The sequence below is a fragment of the Homo sapiens genome, chromosome 6, assembly GCF_000001405.40.
Source record: "Homo sapiens chromosome 6, GRCh38.p14 Primary Assembly".
In the NCBI taxonomy this organism is placed as follows: domain Eukaryota; kingdom Metazoa; phylum Chordata; class Mammalia; order Primates; family Hominidae; genus Homo; species Homo sapiens.
In genome coordinates, this window is record NC_000006.12 from 144,574,945 (window position 1) to 144,591,022 (window position 16,078).

Consider the following 16,078-nt stretch of genomic DNA (forward strand, 5'->3'; position numbering starts at 1 on the left):
TAATGCATGGTTAACTTTACAAAAAACTGCCAGCTGTTTTTCAAAATGGCTGTACTTTTACCTGCAATGTATGAGAGTTGCAGTTACTCCACATTCCTGCCAACCCTTGGTATAGTCATTTTCTTAAAGCCGTTTTAACATGAAGTAATGTCTCATTGTGGTTTGAATTTACATTTCTCTAATGATTAATGTGCTGAGCATATTTTCATTTGTTTATTTGTCATCTAAACATCTTCTATGGTAACGTATAGGTTTAAATCTTTTGCCCATTTTTTAAAATGATATGTTAAAAAAAGATACTGCATCATTATAAAATAAAAAAAATGCCAAAAAGTACAAATAGGAAAGTAAACCAACTTAAATCCCAGCACCCAAAAATAACTGTTTGAATATTAAGTTAATATTCCAGACATTTCTCCCTCTATGTATATATACAGATAGAAGGACGGATGGATGGATGAATGGATGGACAGAGAGAAAAAATACGTGTAAATAAAGTCTATTAGATATGCTGATTTTTACTGTGATACAATTTGTATACAGTAGTCCCCCCTTATCTGTGGTTTTGCTTGCTGTGGTTTCAGTTACCTGTGGTATATACAAAAAGAAATCTTGAGAAAGAGAGAGATCACATTGACGGAAGTTTTACACAGTATATTGTTATGATTGTTCTATTTTATTATTAGTTATTATCATCAATGTCTTACTGTGCCTAATTTATATTGTAAAAATAGGTATGATGCATGGGAAAAAACATGGTATATATAAGGTTTGGCACTATCTGGGGTTTCAGACATTCACTGGGGATGTTGAAATGTATCCCCTACAGATCAGGAGGGACTGCTGTATCACAAAATTCATCAGGATTTTTAGTATATTCACCATGTTGGGCAACCATCACTACTCTTAATTTCAGAAAATTTATCATCCTCCAAAGAAACCCCATACCATTAGTAGTCAGCCTCCATTGTCCTCCACCATGCAATCCTAGGCAACACCTAATCTACTTTCTCTATATATATGAATTTACCTATTTTGGAAATTTTGTATAAATGGAATTTCACCATATCTGGCCCTTTGTGTTTAACTTCTTTCACTTAACATAGTGTTTTCAAAGTTCATCCATATTGTAACACGTGTCAGTACTTCATTCCTTTTTATGGGTGAATAATAGTCTATGTATAAATATAGTGTATTTTGTTTATTAATTTCTGTCTCAATTTAGGTTGATTCTACTAGTTGGCCATTATAGATAATGCTGCTACAAACATTTGTGTACAAGTTTTTCTGTGGAAATATTTCCAGTTCTCTTGGATTTAAATACCTAGGAGTGAAATTATCGATACTAATTTTTAAAATTGAGTTGTTTTCTTATTATAGAGCTCTGAAGAATATAAAGTTTTAAATGTTGAATTTACAGGTGTGTGTATCTCTTAACTCATATAACTCCAAGATAGCTCTGTGTTCTAATTTTGATGTAGATTTAATGAAGGGTTTATAGAAGCTCATTTGTCCAATGCATTCTAAATATTACTAAATAAGAAACCAACTTGTATATATATGAATTGTTTAAAATATATAAAATCAGCTGCTTCAATTATTTTTATTTTGTCTTAAATATTTCTTCAGATATTATTTCTTCCTAGAATTCATTTAGCCACTGACTGTAGGAGTATTTGTTGATACTGTCTTTATGTAAGTCAACACAAAAGGTAATTGTATTGACTTACATAAAGGCAGTATCAACAAATATTCGTATAGTCGCTGACTGTATGAATATTTAATCCTTAAAGGAGTGGTAGGATTCAGTGACTGAATGAATAGAATTGCCTTTTGTATTGACCTACAACATATGGGGGAATAATTTAACTTACAATTATGAGCTGTAAAATGTAGTTATAATTATTTTATGATATGGATGTGATTTTAATATTTTTATGGCTCTCCCCCTTTCACTCTTCTCAGAATTCACATGATCCCTCCACTAAGGATTATTCAAGACACACATACAGATAAATCTCCCAGTTACCTATGGTGACTTGAATAAAAGGTCCTTTGGGGGCTGCCTGTTAGTTTTTTATTTAGGGGATGCGTGATGTGGAATGTCACAACACTGTAAGTAATGGAGCCGTGCTGTCATATTGTTACTTTCAGTATTGCTGACAGACAGAACGCCTTGGAGGCTGAGTGGAGGACGGTGCAGGCCTCTCGCAGAGATCTGGAAAACTTCCTGAAGTGGATCCAAGAAGCAGAGACCACAGTGAATGTGCTTGTGGATGCCTCTCATCGGGAGAATGCTCTTCAGGATAGTATCTTGGCCAGGGAACTCAAACAGCAGATGCAGGTAAGTGCATGGGAAACCACACCAGTACCTGTGTTTGCCCTGTGTGCTTTTGATCCCTCTGCATGCAAATGTGTTACCCTTAAAAGGTGAAGTTGTCACTTTATTCTCTTATGAAATCCGTGCTCTCCTGTGAATAATAGGTTTCTTGAAATAAGCTCTATTAGATATTTTTACTTAATGTTAGAGGGGAAAAAACCCACCTTGTTTTATGGAAGTAATAATTGTTTATTTAGAGTTAGAGGCTCACAGCTATTCTGCTTTTTGTCATTTTAAGCCCTATTATGGTTAGCTTTATTGAATCCTAAATTATAAGGGCATTTTCCCTTAATGTGAAGTTGTTTCTTTCTCCATTTATTATACATACTTAATATAAAAGCTGCAAAAGCTCTATGGCTTAGTTTATAACTAAGAATATTAGGCTTGATGATATTACTTTTATGTCATTAGCTTGATAACTGTGATTGTATATGTAGTCTGAGGTTCAAATATTTCTTCTACACAAAATGTGCTAATATAAAACTTTTCATTTATAAACATTATAAGGAATCTTATGAAATACGTCTGAATCTTTTTTTGCCCTCAAGTAGTTCTGCTTCAGTACTCTTGAACCTTCCAGTTCAAAATCTGATTCATGCGGAGTGTGGTGCCTCACGCCTGTAATCCCAGCACTTTGGGAGGCCAAGGTGCGTAGGTCACCTGAGGTCAGGAGTTTGAGACCAGCCTGGCCAACATGGTGAAACCCCATCTCTACTAAAAATACAAAAATTAGTCGGGCGTGGTGGTGCGCACCTGTAGTCCCAGCTACTTGGGAGGCTGAAGCATGAGAATTACTTGAACCCAGGAGGTGGAGGTTGCAGTCAGCCAAGATCGCACTACTACACTTCATTCTAGGTGGCAGAACGAGACTCTGTCCACTCCCAAAGAAACAAAACAAAAACCTATTTCAATGGGGAAGTCTCCTTGTCAACCATAGTATTACATCTGATTACTTTATACCATGCCATGCTCACATCAGTTTGACAACTATTATTTCTGATGTACCTGTGAACACGTGTTCCATTGTCTTTTGTTGTTGTTGTTTTGTTGCCCAGGCTGGAGTGTAGTGGTGCAATCTCAGCTTGCTACAACCTCTGCCTCCTGGGTTCAAGTGATTCTCATCCCTCAGCCACCTGAGTAGCTGGGATTACAGGTGTGCTCCACCATGCCTGGCTAGTTTTTGTATTTTTAGTAGAGATGGGGTTTCACCATGTTGGCCAGGCTGGTCTCAAACTCTTGACTTTAAGTGATCCACCTGCCTCGGTCTCCCGAAGTGCTGGGATTACAGGCCTGAGCCACCGTGCCTGGCCTCCATTGTCTTTTGATACATGTCTCTGCTTGTCCCAGTTGGTCACATGGTTCTTCAAGGGCAGAGATTATATTATCTGTATTGTTGCCTACGCAGTGCCCTGTGTGCAAATCCTAAGTGAATACTGACTGCTGTCCTTGGACCTTGACTCACCGTTATGAAACTCAGCATTGAAACCTTTTTTAAATCCGTTCTTAGGAACTCTTTTCTCTGAAAACATGAAAAAGACCATTTTGTAAAATGTCAACAAATGTGTGGATCTGGATGAAGGATACAGAGTCTTTCTTTGAACTACTCTGATTCTTACAATTGTTCTTTAAGTTTGAAATTATTTTCACTGAAAAGTTACACAATTTGAAAAACAGATCTTTTTGGAATGAGCTTATTTATAAATTGTCCCTGTGCATGAAAACTCATGGTGTTTTACTGTTGAGTTCTTAAGATTCATTTGTTGAAAATTTCTGTTTAAATACATTGCTGCTTCTATCTTATTCATTGCGCAATACATTTTGTGACTTGGTAATGAGTGTGACCAGGCAAGTATCAAAATTAAATCTGTTCCTTTGACTCACTCTTTTGAGCCTCATGAGGTCACTATAAATGTTAATTGATAAAATATTTAGCCATCATCTGTATTTTAGGAGGTCATAGAGGACTCTAAGTGTGGATAGATGCTAGATTATTTATTTTTTTATGATTTAAACAAGAAAAAGCCTGACCTATAAATGCTCACAGTTAGTTAACTTATGCAATGGTTTAATTTCAGTAGCTATCTAGGCTGTGCACTTGAGTAGGTAACAGTTTATACACAATGAATAAAGGAGGCTTTAAATGAACCCTGGTAATGAGCACCAGCAAAACACAGGCCTATTCTAGAGTTTAATGATGTCTTCTGACATATTTTATCTTAGGATATATTCTTACCATAGCTAAGACTCTTCTCAATATTTAATGAATATTCAAACAGTGGAAGACAAATGTAAATAGAAATGTTTAAAATCTTTCAAAATAAAAATATCTAAGCACAGGATTACTTATGGCAAACAGCATCAAGAAAGGGTGCTGATAAAAATATTAAAATACATTATAATGCTTTATAAAATATAATACATTATTACTTTAGTGTTGCTAAAAATAGTCTCTTTTGGCTGGTAGAAAGTAATAAAGAGGACATTTACTAAGAGTCCACTAAAATTCCTTTGTTTAAAGATAAATATGTACATTTATGTTTAGAATGTTTCACATTACGGTAATTCGCATGATTTTTCACTCCCTTGCTTTGTTATTAAATGCTCTTAATTTTAAAGTGTTCTCTCCATTCTATTTTTAAAAAAGTTCCATGGTTTTATTTTCAGCACCTTATAGATAGAAGATTGTTAGAGATTTAGTACCTTTTACTGAGTTTTTCTGAGGCAAGAGAATTTTAATTTTTTTATGGTGTTGTATATTAATGATTCTCCTTTTGTATGAGTAAACAGACATTTAAAATAGAAACTTGTTTGGAAATGGAGAGACGTTTGTTGGAGAAAATGACTGTACAGAAGCATGGCAAATCATAACAGAAAAGTTCTGGTGGCATGGTGGTGGCAGTGGTGGTGGTGGTGCTGGTGGTGCACAGTCTTTGTGCACTAAGGAAGATGGAATAAGGAGCTCCGTGTATCTTTGCTGCATGCACAGGATGTGTATGTAGAACTACTTAGCTGACACATTCGCTGTTTATACTTGCTTCATGTCTTATGACAACCAGATCCAAGGCCATGGGAGTATTTCAGGAAGATAAAGCAGTTTATTCTATGCTCAGTTTAAGGTGAATCTTGGGTGAATTTTGATAAGGATAGGTCTAAAGCACATGGAAGATGATTAACTTTTGGGAGTATGCTATGATACATGCCATTCTTTTAAGGATGGATGATGATTTGGATTTATGTATCTATGTTTCATTGCCCTGCTGCAAGGCTGTTAGGATTTATTCCCCAGCAGAAGCCTTTTGGCAAGAGAAAAGCCGATTCTTTGGAGCCCTGCAGGAGAGACAAGCTCCTTGAGAACTGAGCAGTCCAGCTCATAGAGGGTCTTAAATGCCATGCAAGTATTTATATTTTAATCCAGTGGCAATGAAGAGAAGTCATAAAGGATAGTAACAAGAGTGATGCAATGGGATTTTTGCTTTATAGGAATTTAGCTGATGGTATGAGGAATGGACTTGAACTAGACAAGAGTGACAGAAGAGAGGCCTGTTAGGATACTCATGTAGCCATCCAGGCTACAGGTAATAATTACCAGAAAGGAGACAATGGCAGGGGTAGTAGATCTAATGACTCAATAGTATACATAGACTGAGGAAGGGGAAAGGCAGATTGCCAAGTGGTGTTAGAGCCTAAGACTGGGAACATAGAAGAAAATGTCAGAGCAGGGTTGCAAGTTAGCGGGAAATGTGTGGGGATGGCAAATTTCATCTGTTTTGACTTTGTTGAAATGAAGCATTGGAGTAACATCCAGGAGGAATTGCCTGGTATGCAGTTGTCACTGTGAATCTATATTCAGATAAGAGTATTTGGCCAAAGATGCAGAAACTTTATTTTTTGCTTTTGTATGAAAGCCCATTATTGACTTCCAACTAGTTTATTAGTTCAAGTGCATTTATTCTTAATGTGCATGTTCATATTCTAAAAGATTGTTATTCTTTTAATTATATTTAAAAATTTCAGCTTTACATTTGGCATTACCAATTAATTGAAATGCTCTGATTCTTTGCTGGGTAAAATCCTGAGTTCTGCTGCCTTTCTGGAGTGGTGTTGTCATGGGTGGCTGGTTTTGCTCTCTAATAATTTACGTTTTAGGATTATTACACTTTTATCTCCTATGTTTGCTTTTAGCCTCATTTTCATCGTCTTGTTCCATAGATGCAGACTTTGATTATAGATTGTTTTAGATTTTCTCCTGTGCCCAGCTGCATGCTTAGCACTGTGTTTGAGGGGTGAATGCCTATCTCATGGGGACTTCATCTGCTGGTTCTAGGACAGGAATTATAGCTTCATACTTATTTAATAACAACTTTCTTGGCATATAATTCACATACTGTACAGTTCATTCATTTAAATTTTACAATTCATTTGTTTCTAGTCTATTCACGATTGTACGACCATCACCACAATCAAGTTAGAACATTTTCATTACCTCAGAAAGAAACCCCTTCCCTTTACTAGCAATTTCCCATTCCTCCCCGCCAATTCCCTCCCCTCTGAACAATCACTAATCTATTTCTATCTATTTGCCAAATACCTTAACATTTTATACTCTATCCTTTGAATATGTTCTCCACTTTTGGCTTTACACAGATATGGTGACATTGTTAGCCTCACCAGAGGGAGGCAGTGTAGATTCTCAGTATGGACCTGCAGGGAAAAAAGATACAGGCAGAAGTCCACAGAACACTGCCTGATGAACACAGTTCTATAAGACCCAATAAAGTCGGCAAAGCACTGCTTGATAAACACCGTTCTGTAAGACACAATATAGGACTTTAAATCGTTGTAACATGAAGGACTAAGAAAGGCAAATGAAGTAAAGGAGGAAAAACAAATACTTGAAAATACTGCATTTCTTTTAAAGAATCATGACAACATTAGACAGAGGTGAAATTGCAGCATTAGCCCGGTTACCAGTTTGAGCAGGACACTGATAATGAGCAACATCTGGGTTCTATTTCTGGCTGTGCTCTTTGACCCAGTCATTTAATCATCCAGGGTTATTTTGCACATCTCCTGATAGTACTTTACCCCAGTTGATATTTGCAATGATGTTCAGGCTGCAGTAGAGAATATGTCTCAAGTGTGTGTATATATATACACATAGAACCCCAAAATTATGTACTGGATTTTTATATGATATAATTATGGCCTCATATTTCCTATTCATAAAATTAAAACAGCTTTATGGCAAATACAATGAGATCATGAAGATGCTGTCTAAGGGGAAATGTGGCAATTTGGAATGTTCAGTAGTCAATTACAGACTTTTAATTTTTTATTCACTTAGCTGTTTAATTAGACAAATCCTAACCTATTCCATTTCTAATGGCTTTCCTTCTAGGCAGGCAGATGAGAATCCACTGGATCGCTCTGCTTTTAGGGTGTCTTAGTCATATAACCCCTGCAAGTATTTTTTGTTTTGCTTTATTTTTGTTGTTTTGTTTTGTTTTAGGTGATTTTGGGCTGAGATCTGTCTGGGGGTGATTTTTTAGCACTTAATGTATGGGCTGTTGTCATCAGAGTCAGGTGTACCCTTCTGCTCTTCTCAAGATTTATAACAGGGTCTCCTGTTCACTAATTCACAGAGCACAGCTAGAGCTGCATTTATTGGGTAGTGAACATATCCCTCTTTAGAGACGGTGAATGCTCTGTTCTCTCTTAATAGAAACCAGCTACAGGGCATGCACCGTGGTGGTGGCAGTGATATGTTGAATCCCTGTTCCCAGGGGATGTCCGCTTTCTATCTGCAGCTTTAATGTTTCACTTAATATCCTCTTTGGCTACTGAGCGCACTCCTCTCCCGCAGCCGGCAGCGCTTGGCTGCTCGACAACTTCCTTCATTTCTGGCCATGCCGGGCTGAGCAAGTGCTGCCTGTGAGCATCTGCTGGGGGGCTTTCTCTGTGGCGTTTGTCTGTGTTTTTTAAATTGAGAAGTTGAAGGAATACCAGCCTCCTTTTTCCTAGAACCTAACCCCCTGTATCTTTCAAATGCTTTCCTGGAAACGAGCATGCTCAGAGAACTGACAAATCATTGTCCAGTGACCGGGAGGAAATGATCGTTGCTCTTCATTTATAATGCAAATTCTGAGGTGTCTCCAGAAGTGTGGTAAACTTAAAATGATGGCTGTGGTGAGAACGTCTCTGCAGAAAGTTGTGGTTTTGTTGCATCGCTTACAAAGGATGGCAGTTTCTTCTCCTCGGTATCAGAAGCTCTGTAAGGTAACTGAGTGATTGAAAATAAGGATCTCGGGTGTCTGACAGTTCTACTGTTTCTCAGGCTCTAAAAACTAATCTTTCAGGTTCTTATCAAGGAAAGATTCCCTTTCTTAGTAACTGATTGTGAAAGCTGTTAAAGTGAATTGCATAATTACATTTTGTTTAAAAATCTAAAACAGGTTTTAGTTTTAGTACATAGTTTCTTTTGCAATTGACACAATCTTGTCTTCTGAGATGGGCTAGTGAAATGTTTGGAGAAAATATGATGCAAAACTACTACATTCATTAAGACCTGTTACCTCTCTGGTACTTTGCAGTATCTTAATAGTGAATGGCACATTAATCTTATGTAAATTTTAGTAAAATTAAAAGAAGAGTGCCAAATAATCTTTCAGTAGATTTTTAAAAAATGTTCCATTGTTTTATAGCTAATTGCTTTTTCAATTAAAACAATTAAAAGACATTTTAAAAAAATGATCAGACTGAATTTCATCATAAAACATCCCCTATATTCTTAAATCTCCATATATTATAGTTACACTTGAAGAATTTAATTTCACTTGGATGGATGAATTAAGTAGACTTACTGGAGACAACTTGTTTGACAGTTGCAAATTTCTAATACTACGTCATCCCGAACATAAACCATTCAATCAGCTGCTGTATTTTTTTAAGTCAGCTGTTATATGTTTGATCATAGTTTTGTTTTATTCAAACTATGTTGATACTATGTCATTACTTTTGTCAAAATTAGAGTGTTTTGATATAAAAGGAGAGAGTTATAATAGCAATTTTTACACTACCGCAGTACTATATTCCTCCTTCCTATCATATTTTTAGTACCGTTCTCAAGAATGTATCTTGTTGCTCTGTTAGCTGCCCAAACTCATTTGTGATCAAAACAACTGCCTCTAAGAAAATATTATTTTTCTGATGATATACAGTATGGCATGTCCAGGCATCTAGATGATGCTTATATGGCAGCAGATTGAGGTGGGAAGCAGTATTCCATTAACTTTATTATATCACACTGTAATTTCTTACAATTTGGCCAATTAGATATATTGCTGTCTGGAAACTTTTTTTTTTTCCGGAAGTTTTGGGAGACAGATTCAGGTAGTGGGGTATTCTTTTCAGAAATACTTACAAGAGTTTTATTTGCATAAGAAGTTAATTAAAACTTAATGGAGCTTAATTAATTCAGTTACAAAGATTTGTAAACCTAGTTATTTCAATGTGTTGTGTTTTGCTCTACTTCAGTGGATAAGTTTATTCTGGTAAAACATTTATGTTTTTCATGAAAAGGCAATTTTGATAATAGATAAGAAAAGCTCATTCACTAATTCATGCTATTTAATTTTTTTAACTACCAGTATGAATGTATAAAGCTTTCTTTTTTTTAAGAGCAGGGTCATTTTCCTGATCCGTTTGTGTGTGTACTTTCACAAAACCAAATATTTTTCTAAAGTCGAAGGTATTAAGTTAGTGCAAAAGATGAAACAGCAGAAGTCAAGTATTGGAGAAAGTTGCTAATTAGTTTGCTAATTCTACCGCAAATAGGCACAAGTTAAGTCACTGAAGTCATTGGATAAATTACCATCAGAAGTGCTTTTTGGGAAGACTTCTTGATTTATAATTTCCTAAAGATACCATGAAAATTTAAATGTTTAGAATAAATGTTACTTATTTCATTTAGAGAATTAAAATTTACATTATTTGCTGTTGAAATACTATCTTCCACGTATTCTTTCCCATATGCAAAATTAACAACTGCCTGATTAACGCAATGAGAAATGTACAATTCCAGTACATTGCAGCAGGTGTCAGTATAAGGCAGTGACATAGGAGATTTTGCCTAAAGAACTGGAAATCCAGATTAGGAAGCGGCACAATTACTATGAAATAAATAAACTAGTAACAGATAAATTTTATTTGTGTGGTTATATTTTGAAAACTGATCTAAGTTATTGAGCTATATTAATGTAATGAAATGAAAATTTAGTTGTAGACTTAAATATTAACAGTTGCCATCTCAAATATTGATAGAGGTAGCTATACCAACCAAAAATACTTAATTGTATTTTAATTATCAATAGTCCATGTGTCATACCTAAAAGTTTAAATGGGTTTGACATTTATTTGCTTTAAGACACTGTAAATTCCCTTCCCATTAAATTGTAAATGCTGTCTTGACTTTCTCCTTATTCCTCCCACATTCTCTAAATTTAGTTTCTTAGAAAAAAATGCTTTAAGTTTGTGTATCTCCATAAAAATACAGAAACAGTCTATTGTAAATACATGTAGAGACCAAAATGAATGAGAATAAAATGTGGCATAATCTGAGGGAAATTTGACTATTTAAAATTCATATTGGCATTTTGAAATTCAGTGTCTGAATATTTTTATCTTCTTTTAAATTCCTCTTGAGGATCATTCTTTTTATGTATTATTTGTTTAGTCTTTTGTTAGACTTTTCCCTCTGTGGCAGCTCGTCTTTTCTGCTTATTTTCATACTTCTCTTGTTTGTCAGAAGATAGTGTGTGTGTTACACGAGTAGATACTTGTGTAGAATATTCTCATTTTGTGGGTTTTCTTGTATGTTTCAAAGAGAAGGGAGGAATGAAAAAAGGCATGTCACAGCTCTCAGAGTTAAAATATACTCCCCTCCCACAATCTATTTACACATTCACGTGTATTTTTTGCCTTTAAAAATATTTCTTCTCGGTTATACATCCAATAAAATTTGAGCAGGAAGCAAAAACGTAAGTGCTGCTTACTTGGAGATATAATTAGCAGCATTGAAATTGCCCTGATGACCTAAAATCACCCTACACTGGATGCTAATTTTCTCAGATATGGTTTTGTTTGCTTAGTTTCTTTAAAATTTTCATGCCTATAAAATAATTTTTCTTTTAGTAGAGCACAGTAGAAAAAAAGCTGATGTAAATGATTTGAAAAATAATATTGAATTTAATTTGTTTTTATTGTTACGTGATTACTTTGGGGTGTTTTATATCATGAAGTCTTTAGATTAGAACTGGGTTATTTGTGTTAATGTTAAATCAGAAGAGATTTTTGTAAGTCCTCCTTATTTTTTTCTTAGTGCCAATTTCTGTAAAATATTTAGCAATTGAGGGCATGGTAAAAAGCAGTTTCCTGTAAAGTAGATTGGGATATGAACATTATAGAAAAATGAGAAAAATTTAAAAATATTTAGTGCTGTAAATTGACTCCTTCGTGACTCAAGCATTTTAGAAAATGTTGATTTAAGTGATATAACTTCTATTTGCTTGAATGTATATGTAAATCATTTTAGTTTAAGTGGTTTTAGTCACCCCCCAAACTATTCTGATCATATTTCTTCAGCAAAAATCTTTTAAACATCTAGCTGTATATAGATGTGTATTCATTTAAAAATTATACATATATGCCATGGTGAAATCATGTATTAAATATTAGTAGTGTATAATTTTGTTCTTACTTTCTACTGTTGCCTTTTTGTACCACAGTTGATTCTTTTTCTCTATGTGGTATACACAACACGATTTTGGTGACTAGTCATTTACATACAGAGTGAAACTATGGCTATTCTTAGCCTGGCCTTCTAGGGGGCTTGAGCTTTCAGTGTGGTGCTGATCTCAAAGTCTTCCCCGGAATACTGTGTCTTCTGTGGTATTAAAGCAACTACTTCTGAATATTCTGTGAAAAATAGAAGAGACCAGAAGATTCCACCTGGGAAGTCACGATTGACCAGTGATGTCTACAAAAGGCTTGCTTTGTGGCTGTGTGTGTGTGTTTTCATGTGTGGACGTGGACAACACAGAACTATGTAGTTGCTTGTAGTGCTAATGAGTAAATAGATAATGAACATGAAGGCACATTAATCTCTCAGCAGGTTTTTATGTTCACTGATGAAGTAAGGTCACATATTATTTTTCATCTACATGTACAGCTCCCTGTATTTAGAGGTAGTTAAGGTTGAGTATGTGGTTTTTTAGAAGACACTGAATGGAGTGGTGTATTTTCGACCGGTTGAATTTTGTATTTTTTACTCTCAAACATTTCCCCACCTTTTTTTCACAGGAGAACCCTGCTCTCCTTGGACAATTAAATCCTGAAGTGATCCAGGGCAATGGAGATTTACTTTAACATGATCTGATTGTTGAGATGTGTGTATTTTAAGGTCAACTCTTGGATTCCCTCAGTTTCTCTCAATAACCAACTCATACATAGATTGTTTGAACCATGGAGCTCAGAGTCATGACCCTCTAGTCTGCAAGTTAGAATTCCCACTTGATCATATGAGTTGTCTCTTCTTGGCTTCATGAGAAAGTCTTGGTTAGATTAGTACAGAAACTGTGTGAAGGTTGAGGTTTAATGGAGAAAAATGGCGTATGTAGATGGGTTTGCCTCCATCTAACCCTCTCTATGGATGCTGTAGGTGTGTTTCCTGGGAGCTGTATGGATACCCACACAGACTACTTTCTCTACTCTGCGTTTGTTTCTGCACTTCCTAGTCAGGTCAAGATTACAGACAAAAGTGAGACGGGATCAAGGAGAAAACACCTGCACCCCTGCCTGCCACTATCAGACATGATTCCTGTGGCTTCCAAGAGCACAAGTGCCATTTTAGAAAGCTCTTGGACCTCTGTTTTGCTGTAGTTCCCCAAGTTGATATGTGTTGTCAAAATTATGTTTTTAAAAAGTTATCCAATTAACTAACATTTTCTTAATCAGAAAACTCATGCTATCAATGACTTGGATAAAGTCAATATAATTAGCTAAAAACAGTATAATTAGATCTGATGCAATGCTTTGTCACTCACTTAAAGAATAACTAATACATTCTATAAGGTAGCATTTTAAAATTCTTTTATAGCCAAGATATCATTATCATTGGTGTATGTCTAGAAGTGTAATACTAGTACAAATCCGGAACAAATAGAAGGTCCTTCTGAGATGGAGTTGAAGTAGTATTAAGGATACGGATAAAAGGTCTCTTTTATTTGTAGAGTATTATTTGATAATTGTAACTTAAAGGGTTGATGATTTGTGTTTTCCTAGAGGCAAAGTTTATTAAATTTCAAGTGGAAATTTCCTAGCTGTAGGTACTGCTAGATTTTAAATGTGCAGACATAGCTCCTTCCTCTTACTCTTAACTGTGATCACTACCAACTTCTCTTAGTATATTTGGTAGTTTATTTTTAGTTCTCTAAAATAAGTAATTAGTAGAGTTCCTACCATAGAGATAAAAGAATGTAGAAAATGTTATGCCTTGGTAGCTTTCTCAGTTTCACAAAGCTTATTCATTTCTGGGCGAGGTAAATGAGTCCAAATAATTGAAATTGGAAAGGATGTGAAGTGCATCAGAGGGTTGCTTTTCATTTTTCATCTTCTAGTTTGTTCAGTTCTGTGGAACTCTAAAAAGATTAATTTATAACAAAGCTCACTTATAAAAGCAGACAGTGCCTTTTAGTGCTTAATAAATAATAGGCTTATGTGAAAGTATGGCTTCATAAAGTTAAGCAAGAATTTTGGAAAAACATCAAATGGAAGAAGATGTTGAACTGTTTGCACAATAGACAACTATTTTGTTTTTATTTTAACAGAATTGAGAGAAAAATGGCTGACTACAACAATAGAATAACTGTTAGCTGTTATGATGGGAAAATATCTTGATACTGCTAGTACAGTTTCCTTACATTTTTAGTATTTTAGAGTTTACAATGTGTTTTCTCATATATTACATCATTAATAAATGTAATATTAACAATATTATATTATCTTGTGTCCTTAAGAGATAGATAGGAAAGAAATTTGTTTTGCAAGTCAGCAAGTGAAGGAACATGCCAGTAGTTAGTTGCTCAGCTAGTATGCGGTGCAGCTTGTGTTCAACATAGATTTTCTGCTTCAATAGCCAGTGTCTCTCTACCTGTAATTTTAGATAGAGAATTTTTGGAATTATATTGGGATAAAATGGGTCACTCAGTATAGAAGATATAGAAAGAGAGATTACATTAACTAAGTAATAGATATTGTTTTGTTCTGAATTATTTCCATATGCATTTCCTTGTCTAAAGAAATTTCACCTGCAGTCTCCTTTAAAACATGAGCTGGAGCATGAGAACATTCCATGTTCCTTTAAAACATGGAATTCTGGAGAATGAGGAGATGTTGGAAATCATCTGATTCAACCATTTCATTTTGGACATAAGGAAACAGAGATAGTCTATAATGGATGTTTTATTGCTGACAGCTTTTTTTTTTTCTTTTTTTGAGACAGGGTCTCTGTCACACAGGCTGGAGTACAGTGGTGCTATCATGGCTCACTGCAGCCTTGACCTCCTGGGCTCAAGCTATCCTCCCGCCTCAGCCTCTCGAGTAGCTGGGATCACAGCTACTGTGCATGCCACCACACCGGGCTAATTTTTTTGTATTTTTTTTGTGGAGACAGGGCCTCACTATGTTGCGCCGGCTGGTCTCAAACTCCTGAGCTCAAGCAATCTGCCTGCCTCGGCCTTCCAAAGTTCCTGACAGTTTTGAGCAGGTGGCTATGTACTTGTTTTCCTAGAAGTTTAAAAGTAAGGAAATATATTCTTTTCAAAACTATTTCGATGTTCGATGTTCAAGTATTGGCTATATAATGTTAAGGAAATAAAGATTTTTAAAAATGAGTTCATTTTGCACTTTGATAAGAAAGATGGATTGGGTCATTTCCATCCATATTAAAATAGTTGGTTCTGGTTTTTGATTTATAACTTAATTTGGTTTGATTCTTAACAGTACAAACGTTAAATTATGTGTTCATTGAACCCAGTTCTCCATACCCACATGTAGTTTTTTATCATTATATTTAAAAGGACATAATAGCTCCCTAAGAAAGAAACTGAAAGGAGTCAACTAACTTAACAGACTGAGTTGTTTAAAATAAGAAATATGTATATATTTTTAAAAAATTTAATTCAAAGAACATGTATTGAATGGCTGTCATGCATCAGAGATATGTGCTAAGCAGCATAAATGTAAAATGCAGTGTTGCATTTTCCATGGGAAACAAGGAAGTACAAATATGTTGTTCTGAGGAATTTTAGTCGTTCACACGAGTCTAGCGTGAGACTAAATTCAAACAGTTCTGGCTTTGCCACTTACCAGTTATGTAACCTTGGCAAATCCTTCCACATCTCTGTGTTTCAGTTCCCTTTTCAGAAGATAGGGTTGGAATTAGTCTCTCTCTCTCTCTCAATCTACACACACACACACACACACACACACACACACGCACATGCACACACACACACACACATAAGGTTGTTGTAGGAGTTAAATAAGTTAATATTGATAAAATGGTAAAAACAAAGCCTGGCACATATCTGCTATGTGGGTTGGCTACTGTTGTTACCGTTACCACTATTGGTAGGATTATTC

The 16,078-nt window shown here is 35.3% G+C and overlaps 1 protein-coding gene across 2 annotated transcripts in view; it reads left to right on the top strand.

Annotated features, from left to right (window-relative positions):
- UTRN (utrophin) overlaps positions 1-16,078 on the top strand; it is a 567,700-nt gene that overhangs the window by 289,610 nt on the left and 262,012 nt on the right. Inside the window, exon 51 of one of the 2 annotated variants that reach the window (NM_007124.3) lies at positions 2,155-2,344. In NM_007124.3, coding sequence (NP_009055.2) covers positions 2,155-2,344 — 190 coding nt within the window. Of the gene's footprint in view, positions 1-2,154; positions 2,345-8,203; positions 8,657-16,078 lie in introns of those variants that run through there. The other variant, NM_001375323.1, reaches the window with a different exon arrangement.